The sequence below is a fragment of the Homo sapiens genome, chromosome 1 (assembly GCF_000001405.40).
Source record: "Homo sapiens chromosome 1, GRCh38.p14 Primary Assembly".
Classification (NCBI taxonomy): domain Eukaryota; kingdom Metazoa; phylum Chordata; class Mammalia; order Primates; family Hominidae; genus Homo; species Homo sapiens.
The window spans coordinates 189,988,660-190,000,718 of record NC_000001.11 but is presented as its reverse complement, the minus strand read 5'-3'; the positions used below and the strand labels follow the sequence as shown (position 1 = coordinate 190,000,718).

General features: G+C 34.9%; 1 pseudogene, besides 1 other annotated feature; it reads left to right on the top strand.

The window, feature by feature from the left end:
* Positions 633-833: a silencer, noted in NCBI's record as "peak553 fragment used in MPRA reporter construct". NCBI's record gives its function as "represses an SCP1 promoter by STARR-seq MPRAs in K562 erythroleukemia cells {active_cell/tissue: K562}" and the evidence as "EXISTENCE:reporter gene assay evidence [ECO:0000049][PMID:32103011]".
* On the top strand, positions 7,516-11,183 carry LOC647132 (DExH-box helicase 29 pseudogene; annotated as a pseudogene).

The window sequence follows — 12,059 nt, the reverse complement described above, 5'->3', positions numbered from 1 at the left end:
GAGTGAAGGGAGTGAAGAAACAGAGAAAGTGAAAGGAGAGAATGAAGAAACAAAGCGAAGGGAAGGAGGGAAGAGACAGAGGGAAACAGACAGAGAGAGAGAGAAATTGTTTATTTTTCCTTGTATGCCCCTTCTCTGAAAGTTGCTAGCAGATGACTCAACTAAGGCCAAGTAAATATAAGCAAATAGATGTCTTCAAGGTATGTGAATGACTCACTGAATTATTCATTTCTGTTTCTATGTTTTGCATTTCAAAGATAAAATTTAAAAGTATTGAATCCATATTCTTCCTATAAAACTTCTGATGAATTCTTTTTTTAGCTCAGGAAGAGAAAAATACACAAAGATAAGACGAACAAAATAAACAAAAATGTTAATTAAAAGAGATACCTTAACATTAGGAATCTAACTTTCCAACTGTGTAGAATTGACAGTGTAATGTATTTTTAAAATAATAATGTGAAAGAAAAATATAATTTATAAACTGTACAAAATCTAGATCGATATTTTGTGAGGACAAACATAATATTTTATGCTTTCAAGGTTAATATATTCTTTCATGTAGGCTAAAAAGTATCAGCTAAGAGCCAATTACAAAATTTGAATCAAGATTGTGCCTTTTTAAAGCCTATTCCCAAGTCACCTCTGATCTTTCCTTTAAGCTATTTGTATTCTGTGGGTTGTGATGTTGATACTTACAATTTGCGATACATTATAATATCACACTTACATATTTTATTCCCTGCAGCTGCTGATTTTTGCATATGTGGAAAATGAGCAGGGCAAACACATAAGTTTACTTTTAAGAAGTTGTGGATAGAAATAAAAATAAAAAATTCCTTAACCTTTTTTTTCGTATATAAGAAAAAACAATAAAAAGTAGTCAGTAGGAACTTCTCCTCTCAATATTATTCTACTACTGGGACAAACGTTAATTTTTTCCTTATAATAATTTATATATTTCTAAATGTATTCCAAGTGTGAACATCTTTTCCTGAATAGCTGCATCATGAAAACTTTCTTTTTACTTGATATTTCTGTAAGCTCTTTATTTTTCCATGAATTACATTTCTATAAAAATTGCCAATAAAAATATGTCTGTCAAAATGCATCTTCAAATTTTATGTCACATTCATGAGATAGATGTTTCTAGAAATCTGTCAGTAATCTGATATTAGTGGTCAAGGTATGGATTTTAGAATTCAAATGTTAAATTTCAAATTCTGACACTGTGACCTTGAGCCTACTGCTAAGTCTCCCTCTGACTTAATTTCTTTGGTCTAAAATAAGAGTAATGCTGGTAGCAACCTCACAGGGTAATCTCCAGGAGTAAATGAGATGACACAAATATAGCACAGAGTGCTGTATAGGACACACTGCTGGTCTTCAATAAATCTGACCTATTTTTATTTTTAGCTTAGGCCAGGAGTTAGAAAATGACTCAAGGAATTTTCTTGATTTTTAAAGTATAAAAGTTCAAACTGCACCTATACTTACATATGGAAGAATCACCTATTTTATTGTTAGAAAACTTTAGGGAAAGAGTTAAAACACTTGCATCAAAATTTAAATGTACTTCCTTATTTCAGAAAAATGGTAATACATTCCTACAGATCAATTAATTAAAAAAACCTTCTCATAGTCTAAAATACAAAAAGCTACAAGCAGTTTTTATAATTTCTGTCATAGGTTTAAGTGCCATAAGAAAAGAGCATAGAAAGTGCTGTGCCAGGGCCCTTTTAAGTCGGAAAGCCAGGAAAGTTTTTCTAGGAGGCAGCATTATGCAGACTTAACTGACAAGAGGAAGGAGATGGGTAAGAAACTATATTATGAGTGGAGAAAAAACAAGTAATGCAGCTTGGAGGCATATGTATCATTCTATACATGACCCCAACCCCCTCAAAAAATAGGACGTGTTTGAAACATTCTGTTGCCAGAAAGTTTTAGTATTTCAAGTCGGAGGAATAAAACCCAAAGATATCTGTTATTGCTCAAAGACCAAAAGCACCTCCCCTTGGCCAAGTTGTGATCATTTGGGCATAAAAAGAGAATGATAAAGCTTGGGTTATAGAATATATTGATCCCATAAGAAGTCATGTGAATCTCATAATGTGAATATATAAAAACATCGATATCATCTATAATATAGAAAATCTAACATGTAACACACACTGAAACATTTGTTATTTCACTTTCAAAGTAGTAGGAATCCGGGAGTGGTTTTACGTGGTAGTTTGGCTCCAGGTCAGGTTGCAATCATCTCAAGGCTCCACTGCAGCTGAAGAATCTGCTACTGAGCTAACACACCTGGATGCTGGCAGGCCTCAGGTCCTCATGGGTCATTACTGAAGGCCTTTCAGGTGCTACTGGATCTTGGCTTTTCCCAGTAGAAAGAAAGAGACAGAGAAATTAAGATGGAAGCCACAGTGTTTCCATTTTATTTATTTATTTTAAAAATATATTTATTTTAAAAATAGATTTTTTGTTACAGTAATATATTGTATAGTGGTGAAATCTGGGCTTTTAGTGTGACCATCACCCAAATAGTGTAAATCATACCACATGGGTAATTTCTCCTCCCTCATCCTTCTCCCACCACCCCCATCCCCGCTTTTTGGAGTCTCCAATGTCTATTATTCCACTATGTATGTTCCTGTGCACTCATTCTTTAGCTCCCACCTGTAAGTGAAAATGTGGTATTTGACTTTCTGTTTCTAAGTTATTTCACTTAAGATAATGGCCTCCAGTTCCATCCATACTGCTGCGAAAGATATGATTTCCACCTTTATGACTGAGTAGAATTCCATGGTATATAAATATACCACCTTGTCTTTATTCATTCATCCATTAATGGGCACTTACGTTGATTCTATGACTTTGCTATTGTGAGTTGTGCTTTGATAAACATATGATTGCAGGTGTCTTTTTTTATATAATGATTCCTTTTTCTTTGGGTAGATACCCAGTAGTGAGATTGCTGGATTGAATGGTAATTCTAATTTTAGTTCTTTGAGAAACTTTCATGCCATTTTCTGTACAGATTGTCCTAATTGTCAGAGTGTGGTGGCACTGTAATCCCAGTGCTTTGGGAGGCCTAGGGTGGAGGATCGCTTGAGACCAAGAGTTTGAGCTACAGTGATACAGTGAGCTATGATTGCATCATTGCATTCCAGCCTGGGAGACAGAGCAGCACCCTGTCTCAACAAACAACCAAACAAACAACCACAAAAAAACCAGTGCCTTTTATTATAACCTACCCTCGAAAGTTGCTCATCATCACTTCTACTTCTTTTCTTTTTTTTTGGAGACAAAGTCTCATGCTGTCATCCAGGCTGGAGTGCAGTGGCATGATCTTGGCTCACTGCAACCTCCACCTCCTGGGTTCAAGCAATTCTCCTGTCTCAGCCCCTCGAGTAGCTGGGACTACAGGCGCCTGCCACCACAACCGGCTAATTTTTGTATTTTTAGTAGAGATGAAGTTTCATCTTATCGGTCAGGCTGGTCTCGAACTCCTGACCTCAGGTGATCCACCCACCTCGGCCTCCCAAAGTGCTGGGATTACTGGCATGAGCCACCGCACTCGGCCTTCTACTTCATTTTGTTACAAGGTAATCACTAAGTCCCAGCCACACTTAACAGAAGAAGAATTTGGGTTCAACTCTGGAAGATAGAAGTAGCAAATAATATGGATATATTTTTAAAACCTGTGAGTTATTACCTATGTGGCAAGGAAAAAATGGTGTCAAACTGTATTTTTGAAAGATAATGGCTTAATCAAATGTTGTAAATGGAAAAGGTGACTCAACTGACCTAATACATTGTGATCTGAAAATGAAAATTTCAGGATTACACTGTTAATCAGAATGAATTATTTACAAAGATTATTTTCAAAGATAGGCAAAATTTTTTGACAGTATTAACTGATGAAGTCAATATGAAACAAATGAAAGGCCAATTGACCAGGTAATGTCTGAAAAGCATAGCTAAAATAACACAAGGAGAAAGAACTGGCTTTCATGACAATTATATGTTTATAAAATTGATGAGCTTGAAAAGACTCATTGAAGTAAACATGGAACTTGACTATAGCAAGTTGGTCTGCTGATTCACGGAGGTTCAGCTATGCTAGCAAATCTACTTCTTTTCCAGGAATCAATTATTTAGCAACCCAGAACTTAAAACCTTGATTTTGGATGACGAAGTAGTCTTTTCCACTCATGTTTGATAAAGTTAATATAATTCCAGAGATATAGAAATTATCATGGGTTAGTGCACTGCAATTTTTAGAAGGTATGAGAACACATGGAAATAATTAAGAAATTAATTAAATCAGTGATATCATTTTATATAAATGTAAGTATTATAATGAGTATCATTATATTTTGCTTATGCTTTGCCTATGATTGAAGGTGTTTGCAATGTTCTAAAAACAACCATGTTAAGTTTATAAATAACAACTGAAATTCTGGATGGCTTTTATTTTTAGTCAACAATCTTTTTTTCAACAAATAGTTTATTTCAAAAAATATTTTTAATTTTACCATATTTTATCCATAACGACATAAGTATTTATTCATTAACAGGTTGATAATAATACAAAGAAATATAGAATATGTACTTAATAGTAAATACTATCTTGCACAAACCTAAGACTCATACATCAAGAACCTAATGAACAGTTTTGATGGAGACAGAATATATACAATAATTAAATAATTAATCTCTTCATTTAACACGAATATTGTGGTTGAAGCACTAGAAAAGGAGCAATGGAAACCCAAATGAAAAATGAAAAACTTTCTTTGATAATACTGCTCAAGTTGATTGTTAGGCTCTTTCTCAAACTATCACTTTTACCACCAGGTGACTGAATTATTTAAAGACTATGCTTTACAATAAATAAAAAATCACAATAAACCTATAATAATTTATATTGATCTTTAATGTAGTTGGTGTTTTTAGTATTTTCTTGCCATTGTGACTTTTACTTTCTTCTTATGGCTACAGCCTTAAGCCCTTTCCTATCAAAAAGCTTACAGATGCTAGTGCAAGCTTAAGCCTTCTCAGGAATATTGTGCACTTTTTTTCAACTTCATGAATTGATTTGTTTTTCGTGTTTCAACTAGATTTAATAGTGCAGATAAGATGAAATAAGCACACTCAGATCTTGAAATGTAATAAAATGATAATATTTTTCTGTAAAGACTGTTCTATGATTCAATTTTCTTTCCTCTTACTCTTAATGAGTTCAGTCATTTGATGTACCCAATGCATAGCTGAACATCCTGGTGCATTTCTAAAAGCTGAATAATTTGAAAATAATAATGCATTTATTATAATACAAGTAAACTTCTGACCATTCCTACTAAAAGAGGACTTTCTGAGAAAAATATCTGAATTAGAGTAAAGAAAGCTAGAAAAAAATAATAAATTCAATTTGATGATGAATTTAAATTCCCTAAAGGTAAGGATATGGTTGCCACTTAACTTCTATTCAGGGCTAAAAGTATAGTTTGATTATTTGCTTTTTCATTAAGAATCAGCAACAAGTTTTAAGCATTTTATAAAGTACATTGAAGTAGTGAGTTTAATATATTGAGCAAAATGTGGGGCTCATAGTAATATTAAAAGTGTTCATATTTTTAATCATAATCAAAGAAGATGTAGGTTGTAAATCATGATTAAAGGTTGTCATTTTCTTAGAGCTAACAAGTTAACTAAACAGAGACTGGGCTGAGGAACTGTCCACTGAATAAATGCTAAACAGAGTAGAGGCTAAATAATAGGTAGGAGACACAGAGAATTCCAAGCCTGGCAAAGTGACATTATGATTTTTTATTTATGTTTTCCATGTCTTCCCCTCACTTTGTAGCACAGAGTTAAGCATACATTAAATATAACAGAAAATTAGGAAAGGATTGGAAGACATAGGAGAATGCTAGCATATGCTCAGTTTGTGTTGTTCATATAAACTCCCAATTATGTTTTATTGCCTTCATTAAAAATTAGATTCAGTCCTCCAGAAGGTCAAGTTAGTGTAGGAATTTAGAATTGCTGTAGTGCTTCTATCAGAAAACTAAGATGAAAAACTCATATGCCATATTCAAATAAGAAGAGAGTTCAGGAAGACGGTCAAGTACAATATCAACTTACAAAATCAATAATGTTTCTTCATAAAAGCATTTACCAATTTAAAAATATAGCAGCCACAGATTGCTGGGTCTTACCCTTTGTATTTCTGACTCAGTAGGATTGGGGTGGGGCTGGATAACTTGCATTATTAGCAAGTTTCCAAGTGGTATTGATGTTACTGGTCCAGGGTTCACACTATGAGAGCTGCTGTGCAACAGAAGTCTGCACCTGTGTACCAAGAGACATGTATAGGGAAGCTTATAGCAGCATCAGTCATCATTATAAAGTATTGACAACAACTCATTATGTCAATCAACAACAGAAACTATAAATAACTCAGAGTATATTCAGACAATTGAACATTCTATAGTGGTATTAAAGAATGAACTACACTTATATACATTAACATAGCTCATTCTCGCTTTGAGCAAAAGAAAAATATCTCAGACAAATATACAAAGCATGTTTTAATGTATAAAATTCAATGTGAAACAAATTAAGATACTATATGAGAATAGCTTTATGATTAAACCATAAAGAAAAGGAAGAACATGAATAACCCAATAATAGAGAGAGTAGGTTTCCTCCGTAGGGTATGTGGGTAGTGGGGAGAATATTGTTCTGATTCTTAAGCTTGAGGTGAGTTATCGGATGTTTATTTTATTCTAAGTTGTACAGATACATGATGCATACCTTTTCTATTTAGGGTATGTGTCAGAATAAAAAAATTACAAGATAATGTGACCCCCACTCCAAAAAAAAAATAGAAAAACCTTAAGTCAAAGCAAAAAACAAACAAACAAACAAAAAACTATAACGTATGCAGAAAAAAATCCTACCAAAATGCAAAAGAATAAAAATCTAAACCAAAATAGATAAAAGAAGAATAAGGTTAAAGACAAAATTTGTCTTCTTTAAAAACATAATTGCACCCAGATTATTTATAAAACCACTGCAATGTCAAGATAAATTTCAGCAAGATGGTTCAAGGAGTAAAAATTTTATGAAAGATTAAATGTCAAAATATCTAAATCAATTTTGTTTAAAAGAGGAGGGGACTTATCCTGCCAGATTTTAAGAAATGCAACTAAACAATAGTTATCAAACTATGATGCTCTAGCCCCAAACAAATAAATGGAACAGAACAGAGGTTTCAGAAATAGATCCATGTGAATATCATATAGATGAAAGGAGACACCAGTGGGGAAACATTGTTTAGTGCGTACTGCTGTAAAAACAGATCCATGACATGGAGAAAAGTAAAGCAGAATAGCTAATTTGCAAGATACACAAAGCAGACTCATATATGGCAAGTAAAAAACATAAAGAAGGAAAGACAAGAAGATATGTTTGTTACCTTCTTTCAGGAAAGCTTTTCTTGGAATCGAGGGCGCAGGGTGGTGTCACAGGAGCCAGGAAATGTGAAGAGCTCTTGGTGGCAGCACCAGGGCCTGCACCGCGAATGATCTTCTGCCACAGCTGCAACACTGGCGGCAAGGACAAGAAACACATGGCTCTGGTGACCACGGTGGTCCGGTGGTCCGGGCCGCCATGTCTGCTTTCAGAGCCAAATCAACCACTGGGGCTGGAACTGCCCAGGAGGCCCAAAACAAAAAGCCGGTGTCCAGGCCTCCCTCCCGACACCGCTGCAAGCACCAGGGAGCCCTGAGTCAAGCAAGGCCCCAAAATTTATAGTTTTAATTCTACAAATGATTCTGGTTGTCCTGCAAGTCTGGGTAAATCTATGTTGAAAGTGGTAATTAATAACAAATTAGAGCAAGGAATTATGGGAGTGAGCAATGACAAGCAAAACAATGACAAGGGAGTGATTTCTGGAAGACTTAATGCCAAAAAATTGCAGGATTTTTACACAGCTTTACAAGCATTTTTATTTAAGACTAAGACATTGAAGATGTCACGACCAATGCTCTCTTACATGGAGGTGACCTTCATTCTGCCTTGGATTGGCTCTGTTTAAACCTTGCAAATGATGCACTGAAAGATTCAGTTAAGAATTTGAAGGGCAACAACCTAAAAGTAGGCTGAAATTGCAGTCTCCTATACAAAGCACTATTTCACCTCCATTGCAACCTAAAACAAAACAAACAAACAAAAGAATAAGACCCTAAGATGAAGCCAAAAAAGGAAGAAGGAAATATGGAAGCAAATATGAAAGAGTGGATTTCACAGTACACTAAACAACAAATGAAGAAGAAAAGAATGAGAATTCTAAAAGTTTAGAAGAATAGGAAAAAAAAAATTGACCCCAACGAAAGTTATTTACATCTTGCAGCAAAACTGCTAGATGCAAAGGAGCCAGCAGCTGCCTTTAAACTGGAAAAAAAAAAAAAACAAAAAAAAAAAAAAAAACCAAAAAAAAAAAAAAAAAAAACCAGGCAAGACCAAAAGGAGGCTCAGGAAAAAATAAGGAAATTTCAAAGAGAAATTGAAACTTTAGAAGATGATCCAGTATTTAATCCAGCCATAAAGATTTCACATCAACAAAATGAAAGAAAAAAAGCCTCCTGTGGCCATAGAAGGAGAAAGTGCATTGAACTTTTCAGTTATTTGAAAAATCTGCAGCTGCTACTGAAGAAGAGAAAGATAAAAAGAACCTCATGATGTAAGAAATTTTGACTGTACTGCTCAACGCTGAACTGGAAAATCTCCCAAACAATTTCTGATTGACTGGTTCAGGAAGACTCTTCCCAAAAGTCGAAATCCTTCCTTTGAAAAAGTTCCAGTAGGTAGATGCTGGAAATGTAGGGTTAGGGTAATCAAGTCTGAAGATGCTGTCCTGGTAGGTTGCCTACAATCTTAACAGAGGATGGCATGCAAGCTCAGCACCTGGGAGGCACTTTAGTTCTTTATCATTTAGTTAAAGGGCAGTCAGTTTATCAGTGACTTCATCCTACTTCCCAAGATGTTTGGCTGGAGTACAGTGATGAGGAAAAGAAAAGAGAAGAATTAAATAAAATGAAAACCAATAAACCATGTGATCTTTTTATTGCCCAACTTTTGAATATATTGAAACAGCAGCGACAACAACATTCTGAAAATAAGAGAGAAATCTCTAATAATCCTGAGGAATCTTGGGAAAATTTAGTTTCTGATGAGGATTTTTCTGCACTGTCCTTGGTATCAGCAAATGCGGAAGATTTGGAACATGTTAGAAACCTCTTTAGAAAGTTGCAAAGCACACCTAAGTCTTAGAGACTTCTAAAGGAAAGACAGCAGTTTCCTGTATTTAAACATCTGGATGCAGGTGTAGAAACTCTTAAAGGCACTGGGGAGTGGTTGTGGCAGGTAAAACCAGGAGTGATGAAAGTACTCAGGTACCACATTTTCTGTTGGAAGATTTGCTTCTAAATGAGTGGGGAGCAAGTAAATGTAACATTGCCTATACCTAACCTCAAAGGATCTCAGCAGTGAGTTTAGCCACCAGAGTGTGTGATGAATTGGGCTGTGAAAATGGAACTGGAGGAAGGAATTCTTTGTGTGGATATCAGATCTGGATGTTATCTGAAGCTTGTGAATCTACCAGTGTACTCTACTGTACAACAGGGGTTTTGTCAAGGAAACTTCAAGAAGATGGTCTTTTTACTAATGTGTCTCACATTATTGCAAATGAGGTTCGTACAAGAAGTGTCCAGTCAGACTTCCTACTAACTGTCTTAAAGGAAGTTTTACAAAAACATTCTGATCTCTACTTGATTCTATGAGTGCCGCTGTGGACAGTGAAAAATTTTCCACATATTTCACACACTGCCCCACTCTCAGGATTTCAGGAAGAAGTTATTCTGCTGAGGCTTTTCAACATGAAGATATAATAGAAGAAACAGACTTTGTACAGGAAAAAGAATCAGGATATTGTCAGAAATTTCTGGAGAAGGAAGAAGAAATAACCATTAATGTTACAAGCAAAGCAGGGGGATCAAAAAAAATCAAGAATATATTTCAGTTCAGACTAGAGCAAATGCTGATTTAAATCTATTCTACCAAAAGTACAGCAACTTCACTCAGCATGCTATTCTCTACACTTGAATCCTCATAAAATCAACCTGGATTTCATTTTAGAACTTCTTGCGTATTTAGATAAAAGTTCCCAAGTCGGAAATATTGAAGGAGCAGTATTAATCTTTTTACCAGGCCTTGCTCATATTCAGCAGTTGTATGATCTCCTATCAAATGATAAAAGGTTTTATTCTGAACGGTATAAATGGATAGCTCTGTATTCTGTTCTTTCAACCCAAGGTCAAGCTGCAGCACTCACACTTCCTCCTGCAGAAGTCAGAAAGATTGTTTTAGCAACAAATTTTGCAGAGACGGGTAGCGCTATTCCAGATATTGAGTTTGTAATTGATACTGGAAAAACAGAAGAAAATAAGAGCCATGAAAGCAGATAGATGAGTTCTTTGGTTGAGACATTTGTCAGTAAAGCCAGTGCTTTGCAGTGCGAGGGGAGAGCTGGGCAGGACAGAGATGGCTTCTGCTTCTGGGGGTACACAAGAGAAAAATATGAAGGCTTTATGGATTATTCTGTTCCTGAAATCTTACATGTACCTTTAGAGAAATTATGCCTTCATATTATGAGGTGTAATCATGATTCTCCTGAAGATATCCTTTTCAAAGCCTTAGATCCGCCTCAGCTCCCAGTGATCAGCCATTCAATGAATTTCCTCCAAAAAACTGGAGCTTGTAAGCTAAATGAGCCTCAGCTGACTCCGTTGGGCCAACACCTTGCAGCTTTACCTGTGTATGTCAAGACTGGCAAGACGCTTATTTTTGGTACAGTATTTGGCTGCCTTGACCCAGTGGCAACACTAGCTGCAGTTATAACAGAGAAGTCTCCTTTTACCACACCAATTGGTTGAAAAGATGATGCAGATCTTGCAAAATCAGCTTTGGCCATGGTGGATTCAGACCACCTGATCATCTACAATGCATATCTAGGATGGAAGAAAGCACGACAGGAAAGAGGTTATCATTCTGAAATCATATATTGCCAGAGGAATTTTCAAATAATAGAACGTTACTGTTCACCCTAGAGGTAATTCTTAGTATAGCTCACTCTCTCAGAGTCATGGATAACTGTAACAGGTTTATTTATTTTGGAAAAAAAGGATGCCTAGGATAATACTTGACACACAGTAAGTATTTAATAAACATTTGTTGAATTAGAACAAAAAAAGATTTTCTTAAAACAAGATCTCAAAAAAGGAAAATTTGGATAAAAAATACCTATTATTTTACTACATTAAGATCAAGGAGTTCAGCTTAACACAGGATACCAACAAAAAAGTTGAGAAGTAATAGATTGTGATAACATCTATCACTTGTTATTTATATTTAAAACAGTTTAAAATAATATAAGATTAAATAATTGATAGAAATATCTATCCTCAAATCAATGAGATGAAATACAAAATCCAATGGGGAAAAATGGACAAAGTATATAAAGAGGCAGTTCATACATGGAGCACATGAATGTCTGACAATTTCATTGGTAATCATACAAACATAAATGTAAATAATAACCATTTTATACTTGTATGGTTAGCAAAACATGAAGTTTGATTGTATAAATGATTTGGTGAATATGTAGAGACTTTGAAATGTGTATAATGCTGAAAACAGTTTAATCAGAAAAGTCATTATGGAAATAAATATGGAAACATAAAATAAAATTGAATATAAGTATATATTGTGATCTGCAGTTAAAATCCTTATACCCCAGAAATGCTTGCTCGGTTTAATTAGACTCGTGTACAGAAACATTCACGGAAGCAACATTTTTGCTAGCATTTAGATAAAGGCAACTTATACGTCTACTTACGGGAAATGGACAGTAAAACGTGGAGGAGGGCTGCATAAAAATATGGAACGTTTTGAAATAGGAAAATATGTGATTATATGCAACTGAAATC